This window comes from Homo sapiens, chromosome 20 (genome assembly GCF_000001405.40).
Source record: "Homo sapiens chromosome 20, GRCh38.p14 Primary Assembly".
NCBI lineage: Eukaryota > Metazoa > Chordata > Mammalia > Primates > Hominidae > Homo > Homo sapiens.
Window position 1 is genome coordinate 35,204,512 of NC_000020.11, and position 19,888 is coordinate 35,224,399.

The 19,888-nt window shown below is 42.5% G+C and overlaps 2 protein-coding genes and 1 pseudogene across 2 annotated transcripts in view, besides 1 other annotated feature; 2 read left to right on the forward strand and 1 right to left on the reverse strand.

Annotated features, from left to right (window-relative positions):
• The window catches only part of PROCR (protein C receptor), a 45,164-nt gene extending 33,416 nt beyond the window's left edge, over nt 1-11,748 (forward strand). Inside the window, exon 5 of the mRNA XM_011528496.2 lies at nt 11,382-11,748. Coding sequence (XP_011526798.2) covers nt 11,382-11,392 — 11 coding nt within the window. The 3' untranslated portion in view covers nt 11,393-11,748. The remainder of the gene's footprint in view (nt 1-11,381) is intronic.
• Nucleotides 1-19,888, reverse strand: part of MMP24-AS1-EDEM2 (MMP24-AS1-EDEM2 readthrough) — a 162,759-nt gene that overhangs the window by 89,148 nt on the left and 53,723 nt on the right. The window contains exon 4 of the mRNA NM_001355008.2: nt 13,301-13,550. The gene's annotated coding sequence lies outside the window, so the exon portion shown is untranslated. The remainder of the gene's footprint in view (nt 1-13,300; nt 13,551-19,888) is intronic.
• Nucleotides 11,549-12,048: an enhancer, noted in NCBI's record as "H3K4me1 hESC enhancer chr20:33803863-33804362 (GRCh37/hg19 assembly coordinates)". NCBI's record gives its function as "activates a minimal SCP1, AML or CMV promoter by ChIP-STARR-seq in naive H9 embryonic stem cells {active_cell/tissue: H9 hESC(naive)}" and the evidence as "EXISTENCE:reporter gene assay evidence [ECO:0000049][PMID:30033119]".
• Nucleotides 13,498-13,674, forward strand: MT1P3 (metallothionein 1 pseudogene 3; annotated as a pseudogene).

The window sequence follows — 19,888 nt, forward strand, 5'->3', positions numbered from 1 at the left end:
CTGCAGCCAAGACTTCCACACCCAGCAAATTTTTTTGTATTTTTAGTAGAGATGGGTTTTCATCATGTTGCCCAGGCTGGTCTCGAACTCCTGGCTCAAGCAATCTGCCTGCCTTAGCTTCCCAAAGTGCTGGGATTACAGGCATGCGCCACCATGCCTGGCCCCCAAATGGTTTCACTGGGAAATTCTACCAAATGTTAAAGAAAGAAATAGTATCAATTCCACACAAACTCTTCCAGAAAATCAAAAAAACTTAGCTCATTTTATGAAGGCAGCATGGTCCTGATGCCAAAATTTGAAAAAGATAACAAGAAAACTATAGAACAATACTTCACATGAACATATACCCCAAAACTTCAACAAACTACAAACTATTAGCAAAGGAATCCAGAAATATATATATATTTTTAAAAAATAATACTTCACTACTATGTGGAGTTTATCCCAGGTAATTTAATGCTGGTGTAACATTCAAAAATAGCCAGGCATGGTGGCTCACGCCTGTAATCCCAGCACTTTGGGAGGGTGAAGCGGGCAGATCACCTGAGGTCAAGAGTTTGAGACCAGCCTGGCCAACGTGGTGAAACCCCGTCTCTACTAAAAATACAAAAATTAGCTGGGTATGGTGGTGTGCACTAGTAGTCCCAGCTACTTGGGAGGCTGAGGCAGGAGAATTGCTTGAACCCGGGAGGTGGAAGTTGCAGTGAGCTGAGATCGCACCACTGTACTCCAGCTTGGGGGACAGAGCAAGACTCCATCTCAATAATAATAATAATAATAAATAAATGAGCATAATTCACCATATTGGCAGACTAAGGAAGAAAAAAACACATGATAATCCTAACTGATGAAGAAAATGCATTAACAAAATTTAAAACCCATTCATGATAAAAAAAAAAAAATCTCTCAGCAAACTAGAGAAGGAAACTTCGTTAATCCAAAAATATATATATATATTGGCCGGGCGCAGTGGCTCACACCTATAATCCCAGCACTTTGGGAGGCCGAGGCAGGCGGATCACCTGAGGTCCAGAGTTCAAGACCAGCCTTACCAACGTGGAGAAACCTCGTCTCCACTAAAAATACAAAATTAGCCGGGTGTGGTGGTGCATGCTTGTAATCCCAGCTACTCGGGAGGCTGAGGCAGGAGAATTGCTTGAACCTGGGAGGTGGAGGTTGCAGTGAGCCAAGATCATGCCATTGCACTCCAGCCTGGGCAACAAGGACAAAACTCTGTCTAAATATATATATATATATATATATATATATATATATATGTATATATACACACATATATATGTACATATATACATATATCTACATATACATATATACATGTATACATATACATATGTATACATGTATATATGTATATATGTGTATGACCTCCGGTGATCCCCCCCCCAACCTCGGCCTCCCAAAGTGCTGGGATTACAGGTGTGAGCCACTGCACTTGACCGCAAATCACATTTCTAACAAAGGACTTGAATCCAGAATTTATTTTTTAACATTTTTAAAAAATTTTATTTTATTTTATTTTTGGTAGAGACAGGATTTTTGTATGTTGCCCAGGCTGGTCTCAAACTTCTGACCTCAAGTGATCCTCCTGCTCAGCCTCCCAAAGCACTAGGACTACAGGCATGAGCCACTGTGCCTGGCCTAGAATTTATAAAGAACCCTCAGTAGGGCGCAGTGCCTCATGCCTGTAATCCCAGCACTTTGGGAGGCTGAGGCAGGCGGATCACGAGGTCAGGAGTTCAAGACCAGCCTGGCCAACATAGTGAAACCTCGTCTCTACTAAAAATACAAAAAAATTAGCCAGGCATGGTGGCAGGCACCTGTAATCCCAGCTACTCAGGAGAATGAGGCAGGACAATCACTTGAACCCGGGAGGCAGAGGTTGCAGTAAGCCAAGATGGCGTCACTGCAGTCCAGCCTGGGCAACAGTGTGAGACTCTATCTCAAAAAAAAAAAAAAAAAAAAAAACTCTCAAAACTCAGAAATAAGAAAACAAACAATTTTTTAAAAAGGCAAAAGTTTTGAACAGGCACCTCACCAGAGAAGATACATGGATGGCAAATAAATATTTGAAAATATGCTCAACATCATTTGTTGGTAGGGAATTGCAAATTAAAACCACAGTAAGGTATGTCTATACACCTATTGAAATTGAAAAAAATCCCTGACAATACCAATTGTTGGTGAGAAGGCGGAACAACTGCCACTCTCATAAATTACTGGTGGGAAAACAAAATGATACAGCCCCTCTAGGTTTCTTATAAAGTTAAACACACACTTACCATAGGCTCCAACAATCCCTCCTAGAAATTAGCCCAAGTAAAATGAAAATTTATGTTCATACCAAAACCTGTACGTGAATGTTTACAGAAGCTTTATTCATAATTGCCAAAACTAGAAACAACCTAAATATTCCTCAACTGGGAAGTGGAGTAACAAACTGTGGTACATCCATACAATACACTACTACTCAGCAATGAAAAGGAATTGACTACTGATACACTCAACAACATGGATGAATCTTAAATCCATTATGCCAAGTGAAAGAAGCCAAATTCAAAATACAACATATTGTATGGTTCCATTTTATATGACAGTCTGGAAAAGAAAAAACTATAGGAATAGAGAACATATCAGTGTTGCCAGGGCTTAAGGGTAGGGAAGGCTTTGACTACAAAGGGGTAACAAAAGGGAATTTGGGAAGGTGATTAACTGTTTTATTTTTTTGTTTGTGTGTGGTGGTGTTTACATAATTCTTTGCATTTGTCAAAACTCACAGAACTCTACACCAAAATGTAAATTTTACTGAATGTAAATTACAATTAAATTATATGTATGCAAATCTATTATGTGTATGTTTGTGTATATATATATATATATATATACACATATGAATATTTTTAAAAGCTTTTTCCCCTCATATTACTATCAAGTCATATCTCACAGATTTTGTATTTGTACAATTATTCTTTCTTGAGCCTGAAATTAGTTAGGACTGTTTTGTTTTGTTTTTTTCTTGAGATGGAGTCTTACTCTGTTGCCCAGGCTGGAGTACAGTGGTATGATCTCGGCTCACTGCAACCTCTGCCTCCCAAGTTCAAGTGATTCTCTGGCCTCAGCCTCCCGAGTAGCTGAGACTACAGGCGCTCACCACCACACCTGGCTAATTTTCATATTTTTAGTAGAGACGGGGTTTCTCCATGTTGGTCAGGCTGGTCTCGAACTCCTGACCTCAGGTGATCTGCCTGCCTTGGCCTCCCAAAGTGCTGGGATTACAGGTGTGAGCCACCACGCCCGGTCAAGTTAGGACTGTCTTCATCTCTGTTAACCTTCCATTTCCTCTCCTTCCACAAAACCTAAACTTTATTATTATTTGAAACATAATTTTTGAGTAAGTTATTCCGTCTCAAGAAGGTCCAATTCGTGTTATTGAGAATGGTAAAATAATACACTACCTGCCCTGGGCACTTTAGTGAGAATCCATTTATTGGGTTAACTAGCAGTGACTGTGGATGGCAGTGAGCAGGCCTGGGAGTGGCCAGGACATAGGACAGATGTGCTTTGATGGGAGAGAAGGGAAGGAAAAGCCGGCAGCACAGCGATGGGAAACTAGAGGCCAGAGGTAGAGGTGGAGGGCAATGATCAGGGAGCAGAGATGACAGCATGCCAAGGACATCCTGTGCTGACTTCACAGGCTGGCTCTGGGCATAGGCCAGTCTCTTCCTGGAGCTTTCATTTTCTCTCTTCGGAATCTGTCAACTCTCTACTGCAATCTGTTCCACAGTCGTATAGCCAAAATCCTCTTGCTCTGTGTCTGTTTATTCAACAAATATTTATCTTAACTGACTCTAATCACATTGTCTCCTGTTTGTCCTGCAGTGAAGCCCTTTTACATCTGCTTATCTCTTTTGATCCAAGGGAAGGAGACTTAACCCTGACTTCCAGAGAAGGAAATAGTCTCAGAAAGGTTAAGTCATTTATCTGAAGTTGCCCTTTTAATACTGAGTACTGGACTCTCTCAGTATCCGCGTACTCTGCTGCCCCCTACCGTGAACATAGCAATAGGTTTTAAATCACAAAAACACACAGCAGAACACTACACAACACTGGAAAGACTACGACACTATAAATAGTGCTTACATTTGTTCATTTAGCAAATATTCAGCTGGACGTGGTGGCTCACGCCTGTAATCCCAGCACTTTGGGAGGCCGAGGCAGGTGGATCACTTGAGGCCAGGAGTTCAAGACCAGCCTGGCCAACATGGTGAAACCCCACCTCTAAAAATACTAAAATTAGCCGGGCATGGTGGCACGCACCTGTAATACCAGCTACTCGGGAGGCTGAGGCAGGAGAATTGCTTGAATCCAGGAGGCGGAGGCTGTAGTGAGCCGAGATCACACCACTGCACTCCAGCCTGGGTGATACAGCAAGACTCCATCCCCAAAAAATAAATAAACAAATATTAATTGAGAGCCTACTATATGCCAGAAATAAGCAGGTATTGTCCTTGTGTTCATGGAGCTTATGGTGTAGAGGGGGAGACAGAATTACACAAAATAATTACTTAATTACAGTTTGAATAAATACTATGAAGTACAAGGTGCTATATGAGGGTATAGAATAAGGGTATGTAGCCTGGTCTGGAGGCTTAGGGAAATCTTACATGAAGTAGAATTCATAGGAATAAATTATTGGTTGGCTATGGGGGAGGTTAAAGAGACATCAAGAATGCCTTCCAGGTCTCTGGCATGAACAACTGGGCAGATAGAGCACTGTTACTAAGCAGGGGAAGCCTAGAGGAGGAAGACATTATGAATGGAAAGAATATGAACTTGGCTTTGGCTTTTTGCAGTTCGGGAATCCCACGAGACATTAAGGTATAGATGTGGAATAAGCAATCAGATTCAGGAGTTTGGGAGCAAGGTCTATGCTAGAAATAGAAAGTTGGGAGTTGTTGGGATACAGATTATATTTGAAACTGTGGTCATGGATGACATTTCTTAGAAAATAATAGAAAGAGTAGAAGGCTTATAACTTCCCTGAGAAACTCCAGAATTTAAAAGGTCAACTGGAAGAGATGGAGCTAGCAAAAACTTAGGACAAGGGGCCAAGGAGGGGAAAATCAGGAATGTGCAATGATGCCAAAGTCAGGGGAAGTGTATTTCAAAAAGAAGACTGGTCAACCATGGTGGTAATTACAAAGAAATCAAGTGCAATGACTTTCTTGGTCTACGATGATTTTTTTGGTCTGCCTAGTGAAACAGATTCAGTTTCAGAGGACTAGAGGTGGAGAAGACTAGGCCACTACCTCTTAGAAAACCTCCTAAAGGCCACCATAGCCTATGGTCTTGAACCAGTGGTCTTCATAGTCTTTTGCTCACATACCACTTAAAATAATTTTGATAAATAATGTGAGCTGGGCACAGCGGCTCAAGCCTGTAATCCAAATGTTTTGGGAGGCTGAGTCTGGAGGATCACTGGACCCCAGGAGTTTGAGACCAACCTGGGCAACATAGAGAAACTCCATCTCTACAAAAATTAAAAAATTAGCCAGGTGTGGTGGTGTGTGTCTGTAGTCCTAGCTATTTGGGAGGCTGAGGTGGGAGAATTGCTTGAGCCCAGGAGTTCAAGGCTGCAGTGAGCTATAATCATGCCACTATACTTCTACCTGGGCAACAGAGCAAGACCCTATCTCTAAGAAAATAAATAAATAAAATTTTTAAAAAACATTAGGCCAAGTGCAGTGACTCATACCTGTAATATCAACACTTTGGGAGGCCAAGATGGGAGAACTGTTTGAGCTTAGGAATTGAGGACCAGCCTGGGCAATATAGTATGACCTCATCTCTATGAAAAATTTTTAAAAATTAGGTGGGTGTGGTGGCACACGCCTGTAGTCTCAGCTACTTGGGAGGCTGAGGCGGGAGGATCACTTGAACTCAGGAGATTGAGGCTGCAGTAAGCTACGGTTGCGCCACTGCACTCCAGCCTGGGCAACAGAGCGAGACCCTGTCTCAAAACAAACAAACAAAAATATAGACATATTTTTAAAAGATAATAGAAGGCTATTTTCTGAATCTTGTATTTTTAACTGTCCCCAGTTCTGAACTTTTTTTTAATTGCCCCGTGCAATGTATCATTCAGGGTGGGTCAGATATATGCCTTTCTTTCTTTTCTTTTTTCCATTTTTTTTTTTTTCTCTGAGATGGAGTCTCACTCTTGCCCAGGCTAGAGAGCAATGGTGTGATCTCGGCTCACTGCAACCTCCACCTCCAGGGTTCAAGCGATTCTCCTGCCTCAGCCTCCCCAGTAGCTGCGATTACTGGCACGTGCCACTGTGCCTGACTAATTTTTGTATTTTTAGTAGAGACAGGGTTTCACCATGTTGGCCAGGCTGGTCTTGAAGTCCTGACCTCAGGTGATCCACTCACCTCTGCCTCCCAAAGTGCTGGGATTACAGGCGTGAGCCACCATGCCTGGCCTTTCTTATGAAGACTAGCAGAACTACAATTATGAAGAAAAAGTCGGCTTGGAGCCTCAACCCCAGGAACTTTCTCAGGTGGAGTACATCTGGAAGTTGAGGATCTGGAAATGAATTTCCTTAAATATATCCATGCATGAGTACCGCTTACCAAGCCTTCATTTACTTTACGGCTATTGCATACCCCATTTGAAAACCAGTGTTGCAAAGGACTGGGGGCAATCTGAAACTACTGGGTTCCTGGAACCTGGCACTGATTGATGGGGCCAGTGGGCCCTAATGAGATTGCACCTCCATTTTAAAAGCGTGAAAGGTATAAGGAGATTCAGAGATAGGTGTAAATGGCTTGCGGGAGCCTCCAAAATTTTCAGGTCCAGGTACCTCCCACCCCTTCAAGGGACTGTCTGATACTATTCTATGGCTCCTGGAATGAAGAACCAGTCATCAGGACCTGCTGGCCTCTATTAAATTAAGAGTCCAGTCAGATTTAACAACCTGAAGATGAGGTGTAACTGTGAAGCAATATATGGCTGATTTTTTAACACACCCATCCAAATACATCCACTCCAGCTGATTCATTCTCTCAACTCCCATGTGCTAGGTAATGTATGAGGTGCCAGAGTTACCCAAAAAACAAACAAAGCACAATCCATAGGCCAAGTCCTGCAGAAACTCTAGGAGAGAAACTTTTAAAGAAATAATTATAAAAACACTGTGATCGGCTGGGCGTGGTGGCTCACGCCTGTAATATCAGCACTTTGGAAGGCTGAGGCAGGAGGATCACCCGAGATCAGGAGTTTGAGACCAGCCTGGCCAACATGGTGAAACACCATCTCTACTAAAAATATAAAAAAATTAGCTGGGTGTGGTGGCTCACAACTGTAATCCCAGCTACTTGGGAGACTGAGAGCAGGAGAATTGCTTGAACCTAGGAGGCAGAGGTTGTAGTGAGCCAAGATCATGCCACTGCACTCCAGCCTGGGTTACAAGAGTGAAACTCTGTCTCAAGAAAAAAAAAAACAAACACTGTGATAAAGAGTTAATAAAACTATGTGCAAGAGCTAGGGGAGTACTGAAGAAAGAGTGATTTGAGTAAGAACTTTGTAAGACTTTGAGTAAGAACTTTTTAAGACTTTGGGAAAACTTCCCAAAGGAGGTCACATTAGAGTTATTTATTGGCAGGCGTGTAGTACATCATAGAGAAAAAGAGATGGCAGTGGAAGGATGTTCCAGGCAGAGGATGCAGCATGTCACATGGGCAGCCAGTGTCCAAGTGACACTCAAGGGGCAAGACCTGCTTCATGGACTTGTGACCTCTGTAGTCACACAGGGCCCCCCTCTTAGAAGGGCCCTCACGCTTGTTTTAATGTTCTGCTGTCATCATTTTGAAATTCTTATTTTTTTTTTAACAAGGAGACTTGCATTTTCATTTTTGCACTGGGCCCTGCAAATTACGTAGCAGGTCCTGCAAGAGGGCAAGATGAAGGCAGGGAGACCTGCTGGGAAGTTATTACTGCGGTCCAAGTAAGAGATAATGAAGGGGCTAAATCAAGGTCTTGTCGTAACAGTAATACACAGCCACACCATTTTCAACTTCTTCCCAGTGTATTCCTCAGTTTAGATGTAGCAATTTCCCCAACTGGAAAGTACTTAGGTTGATTTTGGTGTTTTGTAATTACAAAGAATGAGGCAATTGAATAATTTGCTACAAATAATTTTGTGTTTGCACCTATGCAAGGATATCTATCTAGGATAAATTCTCAGAATTAGAATTGATGGGTCAAAGGTATGCTCATTTTCAAGGTTGATAGGCATTGCCAGTTGGTGACCTGAAGAGAGTAAACCAATTTGTATCTCTTCCAACAGTATGGAGGAGTATCTGTTTTATCATGCCCTCTTTAACACTCTGTAGTATCCAACCTTTTGGTATTTGCAGTCTGATAATGTTAAGAAAGCAGTGGCTGATTGTCTTAATTTGCCTTTCTTTAATTACAAACATGGTTGGTCATTTAAAAAATTATTATAGGAGTCTGTTCAGGCCAGGCACAGTGGCTCACGCCCATAATCCCAGCACTTTGGGAGGCCGAGGCAGATGGATCACTTGAGGCCAAGAGTTCCAGATCAGCCTGGCCAACACGGCAAAACCGCGTCTCTACAAAAAACACAAAAAAATTAGTCAGGTATGGTGGCATGTGCCTGTAGTCCCAGCTACTTGGGAGGCTGAGACATGAGAATCGCTTGAACCAAGGAAGCAGAGGTTGCAGTGAGTTAAGATCGTGCCACTGCACTCCATCCTGGGTAACGGAGCGAGACTGTCTCAAAAAAAAAAAAGAGTCCATTTATATTTCTGTTTGCATGAAGCCCATTTAGTCCTTCGCCATTATTGAATTGGGTCATAGGTCTTTTTCTTATTGGTTTATAACAGCTGTTTTACGTTAAAAAAATAATAATAAATATTTTACCTAGTTTATAGTTTGTTGCTTTATTTCTGCTTTTTTTTTGGCCATGCAGATGAAGGCCTGAATTTTTGAAACCTAAGTGAACTGTTACTGCTTTCACTGTATACCAGTATTTTGCAATATAAGCCCTCTTTTCAGGGAGTGGCCTTTAGAGACTATTACACTTATTTTTTTAGAAGCTCAGCTTGTTCATTTGGAGAACATACAATATTAAAGGGAAAAAATGCTCAGCTTGTACTTATTTTTTGAAGAGATAATATATCCACATGATTAAAAAGTCAAAAGATACAAAAAGGTATACAGTGAGAAAAATCTCCTTCCAGCCAGGCATGGTGGCTCCCACCTGTAATCCCAGCACTTTTGGGAGGCCAAGGCAGGCGGATCACATGAGGCCAGGAGTTCGAGACCAGCCTGCCCAACATGGTGAAACACTGTCTCTACTAAAAATATAAAAAATAGCTGGGCTTTGTGGTGTTTGCCTGTAGTTCTAGCTACTTCGGAGGCTGAGGCAAGAGAATTGCTCCAACCCAGGAGGCAGAGGTTTCGGTGAGCCGAGACTGTGCCACTGCACTCCAGCCTGGGTAACAGAGCGTGACTCCATCTCAAAAAAATAAAATAAAATAATTAAAAAAAATTAAAAAATAAAAATAAAAATTGCCTTCCCACCCTGTCCTCAAACCACTTAAGCTTCCCTCCAGGAAGTAAGCACTATTATCAGTTCCTTGGGTATCTGTCCCTATTTTATGTGTAAATGAGCAAGTGCATGCACACACATGTATTCTTTTTTCCGATTATTACACAAATAGTAGCCTACAATATCCAGGATTCTGCACCTTTGCCTTTTTTTTACCACTTAACATTACATTTTGGAAATAATGTCCTAATTATTCATAAATTCGTAAGTACTTCCTCATTTTAAAAAATGGCTGCATTGGGCCGGGCGCGGTGGCTCACGCCTGTAATCCCAGCACTTTGGGAGTCCAAGGCGGGTGGATCACAAGGTCAGGAGATCGAGACCATCCTGGCTATCACGGTGAAACCCTGCCTCTACTAAAAAAATACAAAAAAATTAGCTAGGCGTGGTGGTGGGCGCCTGTAATCCCAGCTACTCGGGAGGCTGAGGCAGGAGAATTGCTTGAACCCAGGAGGTGGAGGTTGCAGTGAGCCGAGATCGCGCCACTGCACTCCAGCCTGGGCGACAGAGCGAAACTCCATCTCAAAAAAAAAAAAAAAAAATTACAAAAGGCTGCATAGTGTCCCATTGTATGCATTGGTTTGAATATGCTTTTAAGGGAGAAACCTGAGTAAGAAATACTCTCAAGTCATTTGGGGCTGGACATTGAGACTGAGTCGGGGGATTGGACTGGGACCTTCTCTAGATCCTGAACAATCAGACCTTTTCCTTCCTCCAGGCCTTTACCTCCCATTTTCTTTTTCTTTTTTTTTTTTTTTTTGAGATGGAGTCTCACTCTGTAGCCCAGGCTGAAGTGCAGTGGCACCATCTCAGCTCACTGCAACCTCTGTCTCCTGGGTTCAAGAGATTCTCCTGCCTCGGCCTCCTGAGTAGCTGGGATTACAGGCACGCGCCACCAAGCCAGGCTAATTTTTTTGTGTTTTTAGTAGAAACGGGGTTTCACCCATGTTGGTCAGGCTGGTCTCAAACTCCTGACCTCAAGTGATCCACCCGCCTCAGCCTCCCAAAGGTGCTGGGATTACGGGCGTGAGCCACAGCGCCCGGCCTTTTACCCTCCATTTTCTGCCAATTAAAACTTCACACAGTCTTCCATTGCTTGTAACTTTTGAACACGTGTGTGGTAATGTTCTGTGTATATTGCATATAAAACTATTAGCTTTTAAAATATTACCAGTTTATATAGACTCATCTCAAATGCTACTTCCTTTTGGAAACCTTCCTTGATCTCCCTGATATCCCCAGCCAGAGTGACCTCACTCCCCTCTGAAATCCTATAGAATGGTGTAATGTTTTGTGGTTATTTGTCACGCCTTTTATGTGCACAAGTCTTATCTTTTTTTTTTTTTTAACCTGAAGACGGCCTCACTTGCCCCAGTACCTTCCACAGAGTGGCTTCTGAGTAATGTTTACAGAATTTTTGAGGTAATTAATGAATGAACAAAGGCACCAAGGGTTAAGGACATGAATTTAGTGTCAGACACTTGGGTTCTACTCCTGGTTTTGCTGTTTTTTAGGTGTGTCGTGGGGTAGGTCACTTCTCTCACCCTTTCCTTAGAATCCACTTCACAGGACAGTGGTGAGGATTAAGTGATTTGATGTAGGTAAATTGCTTTTCATTGACTGTTAGCTGCTGAAATAGGAATTCAGAGGAAGGAGGAGAGAGGTCAAGGAGACTTCCTAAGCTGGACTGTGCTCTCCAGCCACCCTCTCATTTATATTTCCTTTCAGATCTCTACTAAGAATGTCACTCTGGCCGGGCGCAGTGGCTCACTCCTGTAATCCCAGCACTTTGGGAGGCCGAGGCAGGAGGATCACTTGAGGTTGGGAGTTCGAGACCAGCATGACCAACATGGAAAAACCCCGTCTCTACTAAAAATACAAAATTAGCCAGGCGTGGTGGTGCATGTCTGTAATCCCAGCTACTCGGGAGGCTGAGGCAGGAGAATCACTTGAACCCGGGAGGCAGGGGTTGCGGTGAGCCGAGATCACACCATTGCACTCCAGCCTGGGCTACAAGAGCGAAACTCTGTCTCAAATAAATAAATAAATAAAACAAAATAAAAAATAAAGAATGTCACTCTTCCTTGTTCCTGCATTTTCTTTTTATGTCTTTATCTTTTGGGTAAATTTGCCTGGCTTCAGGGCGAAGGCCCTCCAGCACCAAGAGCTGCCTAGTACTGCAGATTCTTACGACCACTCAAATCTTTCTTTCCTTTATAAGAAACAAGCAACTCTACCCTATGGTTGAGCCAATGTGTCAGTTTCTTCCTATCCAAATGGATGGCATCCTGACATCTGCAGTGAGAGGCCAATGCAATTTGGTGGGGGTAGGGGCAAGGGTGGGGGAGTTTTGCAGAGCATAAAGAGCACAGTATCTTGGATCTTCAGCAGCTTGAGTTCAGTTCTTAACTTTTCTTGCCTCATTACAACAGTGTCACAACCCATTTTCCTCATACATTGAGAACTGCTGCAGTCAGGCACGGTGACTGTTACATGGCTGTTATATTGGCCATGGATGGCCAACATAGTGAGACCTCCATTTTAAAAAAAAAATTAAAATTAGTCAGGCATGATGACACGTACCCGTAGTCATAGCTACTCAGGAGACTGAGGTGGGAGGATCGCTCGAGCCCAGGAGTTTGAGGTTGCAGTGAGCTATGATCATGCCAGTGCACTCCAGCCTGGGTGACAGAGTGAGATCCTGTCTCTAAAAAAATAAAAATAATTAGAAAGAATATGATTGGAAAAAAATAAAAATACAAGTAAAAATAAAAAAGAACTCTTGTGAGGAAAGCATCTAACAATGCTAGACAAAAAGTAAGTAACCAACAAATGCAAGTTCTCCCTTTAAGCTCTTCTCCACACTGGTACCAGATTTGTACTGCTAAAAGTCCTGTTCTTTCCTCTTATTATGGAGGAATTATCCTAGCTCATAGCCAACCTCCTCACTCATATACATGCTTACTCAAGGGCATGGCTTCAGCAGTTCTCCTCTCTCTCCTGCATCATCAATTTTTCCCTCTCTCCTGGATCAGTCTCAATCAACATACAAATGTTATGTTTCCCATCTTAAAAACAAACAAAAAGTCTGTTTTGACTCCACTACCAACTACAGCTGCCACATTTTCTCCTTCTTCTTTGTAGTAAAACTTCTTGAAAAAGCTATAACCTGTATACTCAACATTTTCAATTCCTCTTGAACCTACTCCAATCAGATTTTTGTCCCATACACTCCACCAAAACATCTCAAGATCACCAACAACCTCCACATTGGTAAATCTAATTACCTTCTATTCATCTTCATATTATTTGATCTGTGTGACACAGTTGATTACTCTCTCTTTCTTAAAACATTTTATTCACTTGGCTTCCGGGAGTTCTCACTTTCCTGGTTTTCTTCTTTTTGGCTCTTCCTTCTCAGTGTCTTTGGCTGATTCCTCTTCATTTTCCCAACCTCTAAGTATTAGAGTTGCCCCAGGATCCAGTCATTGGAACTCTTTGCTTTTCTGTCTACACTCATTTCCTAAGTAATTTCTTCAGTCCCTTGGGTTTTACATATTATATTGATTCTGAAAACCTCCAAATTCCCACTTCACTCTCAACCTTCTTCCTGAACTCAGGTCCAAATATCAAAATAGCCTACTTACCACATCCACTTGGGTGAGCTCTTCATATTTCTACTCAAACCTGTCCCTCCTGCAGTCTTCTTTGTGTCAAATAATGGCAACTCCATTCTTCTAGTTGCTCAGGTCAAAAAGTTTGGTAATTGGTGAACACGCCGTCCACGTGCGCCTTGCTGTCTCTCCATTATCGCTTGAGATCTCCAGCCTTACCGCGGCTTGAAATGGACCCCAACTGCTCCTGCACCACTGGTGGCTCCTGCACGTGCGCCGGCTCCTGCAAGTGCAAAGAGTGCAAATGCACCTCCTGCAAGAAGAGCTGCTGCTCCTGCTGCCCCATGGGCTGTGCCAAGTGTGCCCAGGGCTGTGTCTGCAAAGGGGCGTGCAGCTGCTGTGTCTGATGTGGGGACAGCTCTTCTCCCAGATGTTAATAGAACAACCTGCACAACCTGGTTTTTTTTCCTTAATACAACCCTGAGCCATTTGCTGCATTTCTTTTCATATTAAATATGTGAATGACAATAAAACAATTTTGACTTGAAAAAAAAGTTTGGTAATTGGTAATGTGACTCTCCGCTTTGTCTCATACCTCCTATCCAATCCATTAACAAATTCTGCCAACTCTACTTTCAAAATCTATGATTCCAAAAAAATCCAAAAAAAGTGTAAAGGGAAAAAATACAAAATACAAAAAACAAAAAATTAAAAATCAAAGTCTATGAGAATCCAACTACATCTCTGTATCTCTACTTGGACCCAGGTCTGAGCCGCCATCATCTTGTACTTGGATTATTGTAATAGCCTCCTAACTGGCCTTTCTGATATGGTCTTAAAACCTTTTCTCAGCCCAGCAACCAAAGTAATTCTGTTAAAACATAAGCCAGAAGATGTCTCTTCCACTCTCAGAACCTCTCATCAGTTTTTGTTAAGAGACAGGGTCTCACTCTTGCTCAGGCTGGAGTGCAATGCAATGATGATCACATAGTTTACGACATTCTCAAAGTCCCATGCTCAAGCAATCCTCTCACCTCAGCCTCCCAAGTAGCCAGGACTACAGGTGTACCCCACCATTCCTGGGTAATTTTTTTTTGTTTTTGGTAGAGATGGTGTCTTGAACTCCTGGCCTCAAGTGATGAGTGAGAGTATCAGGAGATGACAGATGATGATCAGGTGAGAGGATCAAGAGACTGTCCTACCTCAGTCTCCCAAAGTGCTGGGATTACAGGCATGAGCCACCATGCCCAGCCCCATCAGTTTTTTATCTCATGTAGACCACCCTTCCCTCCATAACCTTCATCTCCTGATACTCTCACTCTCTTCCACTCTAACCACAGTGATTCTTACCCTTTTCCTCAAACCTACCAGGCACGTTCTTGCCTCAAAACTTTTGCATTTGCTGTTCCGTCTGCCTGGATTCATTTCTTTCAGATATCTACATGGTTCACTCCCTTGTTCCTCCAGATCTTTACAAAAAACTCACTTTTTTACTGAGGCCTTCCCTGGCCACTCCATCCAAAAATTTTTTTTTTTTCTCTCTCTCTCTCTCTCTCACACACACACACACACCATTCAGATTTCAAGTCCTAAATCCTGCTTTTCTCAACAGAAAAAAAATGCTATTTAACTACATATATATATTTAAATCATTTTGTTCGTTGTCTATCACCCCAGTTTTTTTGTTTGTTTGTTTTTGTTTTGTTTTGTTTTGTTTTTTCTTTTGAGACAGAGTCTCACTCTGTCACCCAGGCTGGAATGTAGTGGTGCGATCTCAGCTCACTGCAACCTCCACTTCCCGGGTTCAAGTGATTCTCGTGCCTCAGCCTCCTGAGTACCTGGGATGACAGATGTGCACCACCATGCCCAGCTAATTTTTGTGTTTTTTAGTAGAGATGGGGTTTCACCATGTTAGCCAGGCTGGTCTTGAACTCCCAACTTCAGGTGATCTGCCCACCTTGGCCTCCCAAAGTGCTGGGATTACAGGTGTGAGCCACCATGCCCGGCCTGCTCCATTATAATTTAAGTTCCATGAAAGCAGGAAGTGTTATTAGATTTGTTCAAAGCTCTATCATCCCAGTACCGAGAATAATGTTCAACACAAAATAGGTGTTTCACATAAGTATTTGTTGAACTTGTTTCTTGAGTGAAATCAAACGTTATCATTTTGCTCCTCTGTTTTGGGTCATTCTGCCCAGAACAGAGTACTCATGCCTTTTGGTCTCAGGACCCTCTCTACACTCAAAGTATTGAGGGCCAGACACAGTGGTTCATTCCTGTAGTCTCTGGTACTTGAAAGGCTCAGGTGGGAGGATCACCTGAGCTCAGGAGTTTGAGGTTGCAGTGAGCTATGATTGTGCCACTGCACTGTAGCCTGGGCGACAGGGTGAGACCCTGTCTCAAAAAAAAAAAAAACACAAAAACATTCAGGCTGGGCTTGGTAGCTCATGCCTGTAATCTCAGCACTCTGGGAGGCCGAGGCAGGCAGATCATGAGGTCAGGAGTTCAAGACCAGCCTGGCCAACATAGTGAAACCCCATCTCTACTAAAAATACAAAAAATTAGCCAAGTGTGGTGGCTGGCACCTATTACGTAATCCCGGCTACTTGGGAGGCTGAGGCAGGAGAATCGCTTGAACCTGGGAGGCAGAGGTTGCAGTGAGCCAAGATTTCGCCACTGCACTCCAGCACGGGAAATAGTGCGAGACTCTGTCTCAAAAAAAAAAAAAAAAAAATTTCAGGACTCCAAATAACTTTTGAAAATTCAGGACTCCAAATAACTTTTGTTTATGTGGATTCTGTCTATTGATAAGTATCACACTAGGGATCAAAACTGAGAAATTGTTAAATATTTACATACTAATTCATTTAAAATAACAATAATAAACATGTTAACATAACATTTTTATTTTTAAAAAAATAATAAAAATTTAGCTGTTTTGTTCCAAAACGAAACAAAAAAAATAGTGAGAGGAATGCTACTGTTTTGCTTTTTTGAAAATCTGTTTTATGTCTGGTTTAATAGAAGATAATTGTATTATCCTATTTACTTCTCATTCAATCTGTATAATGTGCCATGAAGCCCTGGAAAACTACCCAGTACTCTCATGAGAAAATGAGAGTTTAAAAAGAAAACAATGTCTTCGTATTATTATGTAAATGGTTGTTGTCTCCATATATATCTGTTGTCTTTGTACATAGTTTTCCCTCCCATTCTACATAGCAAACTCCTGCTGGTCACTCAAGGTCTGTCTCACCTGCCATCTCTAGACAGTCAGTTGTTCCCTCCTCCCTACTCCCATTTCTCTATTATAGCACATATTATGTTATCTTGTTATCTGGATAATTGTCTATCTTCCCAACCGACTATCTTCCTAAAGAAGGCAACTATAACTTGATCTTCTTTACATCCCTAGCCCCACTCACAGTATCTAGCACCAAAAAGATATTTAATAAATATTAGTTGAATAAAGAAATATGAGGCCAGGTGCAGTGGCTCATGCCTGTAGTTCTAGCACTTTGGGAGGCCAAGGCAGGTGGATCACCTGACGTCAGGAGTTTGAGACCAGCCTGGCCAACATGGCGAAACCCCATCTCTACTAAAAATACAAAAATTAGCCGGGCATGTTGGTGGGTGCCTATAATTCCAGCTGCTCAGGAGGCTGAGGCAGGAGAACCGCTTGAACCCAGGAGACGGAGGTTGCAGTGAGCCGAGATCATGCCACTTCACTCCAGCCTGGGCAAAAGAGCAAAACTCCATCTCAAAATATATAAATAAATATGAAAGGAGGTGAAGGGAAGAGGGGACCCAGTTTATCTACAGTGAGCTCAGGCACTGATATAACATTTCTTTTTTTTCTTTTCTTGAGACAGGGTCTAGCTCTGTTGCCCGGACTGGAGTGCAGTGGCATAATCACAGCTAACTGTAATCTCTGCCTCCTGGCCTCAAGTGATCCTCTCTCCTCAGCCTCCCAAGTAGCTGGGACTACAGCCATGTGCCACAACTCCCAGCTAAATTTTTTTTTTTTTTTTTTTTTTTGTAAAGACAGAGTTTCACCATGTTGCCCAGGCTGGTCTTGAACTCCCGGGCTCAAGTGATCCATCCTCCTTGGCCTCCCAAAGTGGTAGGATTACAGGTGTGAACAACTGTGCCCAGCCAATATCATAATTCTTTTCTTTTCTTTTTTTTTTTTTCTTTTTTGAAACAGAGTCTCTTGTCGCCCATGCCAGGGTGCAGTGGCACAATCTTGGTTCACTGCAACATCTGCCTCCCAGGTTCAAGCAATTCTCCTGCCTCAGCCCCCAAGTAGCTGGGATTACAGGCGTGCACCACCACGCCCGGCTAAGTTTTGTAGAGATGGGGTTTCACCATGTTGGCCAGGCTGGTCTCGAACTCCAGACCTCAGGTGATCCACCTGCCTCAGCCTCTCAAAGTGCTGGGATTACAGGTTTGAGCCACTGCGCCAGCCCCAATATAATATTTCTTGTTAAGATTATCAGTGTCAAAGGTTTTCCAACATCACACTCTGGGGACTGTTGTGGGGTGGGGGGAGGGGTGAGGGATAGCATTAGGAGATATACCTAATGCTAAATGACGAGTTAATGGGTACAGCACACCAGCATGGCACATGTATACATATGTAACTAACCTGCACATTGTGCACATGTACCCTAAAACTTAAAGTATAATAATAATAATAAAAAAAGAAAGAAAAAAACAAACAACCCCATTAAAAAGTGGGCGAAGGATATGAACAGACACTTCTCAAAAGAAGACATTTATGCAGCCAAAAAACACATGAAAAAATGCTCATCATCATTGGCCATCAGAGAAATGCAAATCAAAACCACAATGAGATACCATCTCACACCAGTTAGAATGGCAATCATTAAAAAGTCAGGAAACAACAGGTGCTGGAGAGGATGTGGAGAAATAGGAACACCTTTACACTGTTGGTGGGACTGTAAACTAGTTCAACCATTGTGGAAGTCAGTGTGGCGATTCCTCAGGGATCTAGAACTAGAAATACCATTTGACCCAGCCATCCCATTACTGGCTATATACCCAAAGGACTATAAATCATGCTGCTATAAAGATACGTGCACATGTATGTTTATTGTGGCACTATTCACAATAGCAAAGACTTGGAACCAACCCAAATGTCCAACAATGATAGACTGGATTAAGAAAATGTGGCACATATACACCATGGAATACTATGCAGCCATAAAAAAATGATGAGTTCATGTCCTTTGTAGGGACATAGATGAAACTGGAAATCATCATTCTCAGCAAACTATCGCAAGGACAAAAAACCGAACACTGCATGTTCTCACTCATAGGTGGGAATTGAACAACAGAACACATGGACACAGGAGTGGGAACGTCACACTCCGGGGACTGTTGTGGGGTGGGGGGAGGGGGGAGAGATAGCATTAGGAGATACACCTAATGCTGAATGACGAGTTAATGGGTGCAGTACACCAACATGGCACATGTATACATATGTAACAAACCTGCACATTGTGCACATGTACCCTAAAACTTAAAGTATAATAATAATAATAATAATAATAATAAAAAGCTTTTCCTAGCAGCTGGTCAGTTTACCATATAGTTCATTAAGTGAATTCCAACCACTCATGTGGTCTTTCAAGTGAAGTGGAGAAGACAGAGGTCATTCATTTCATTTTATGAGGCAACCAAGGCCCAAATAAATGAAGTGACTTGCTGAAAGGCATACCAAAAGTCAGTGACAGAGCCAGTGCTTGAATCAGGTATCTGACGTTAAGTCAAGTGCTGTTTCCATTTTATCCCATGCTCATCATGGTGACTGGAGGCTGCAAAGTCAGAGTTCCCGTGATTCTATCTTGGGGTGTTGCTCTGAAACCTTCTAAACCTCCTCTTGAACTGATTTCACAGCAGTCTCTGGACCGTCCTCTTACTAAGGACTATCTTAGGGATCCATTTTATAAGCAACCATTGACTTCTATCAGCCTCTTCTTTCCTTATCATCAATACCTACTGCCATTCACATCCGCCATCCTTGGGAGCTGGTCAAGGTGGACCACCACAGTGCTATATCATCATCGGCAGTTCCACAAGCATTTGGTATTAGAGGAAAGGAGAAGAATAAGACAGAGCTCAGTCCAGTCTGTTCCCCTTCATTCTTTGAATATACTATTTCTTCTTTCTGGAATATATCCCCTCCCAAACCTTCCAACTTTGGCAGTTCATTGCTCTTTCCTCAGTGTTTCCACAACACTTTGTTCTCATTCGTGTCATAACTCATCATGTAACCACAATGATTTGTCTCTATCATCTCCCTACCGGGACTGTGAGCTGTTCACCTCAATGGTGTTAATACAGTCTTCAGTCTCTTTGATTTCCCTGAGACTGTCAACTCCTTCTCTCTCTCTCTTTTTTTTTAGACAGAGTCTCACTCTGTTACTGGGCTGGAGTGCGGTGGCGCAATCTCAGCTCTCTGCAACCTCTGCCTCCCAGGTTCAAGCGATTCTCAGGCCTCAGCCTCCTCAGTAGCTGGGATTACAGGTGTGCACCACTATGCCTGGCTAATTTTTGTATTTTTTGCAGAGACAGGGTTTCACCATGTTGGCCAGG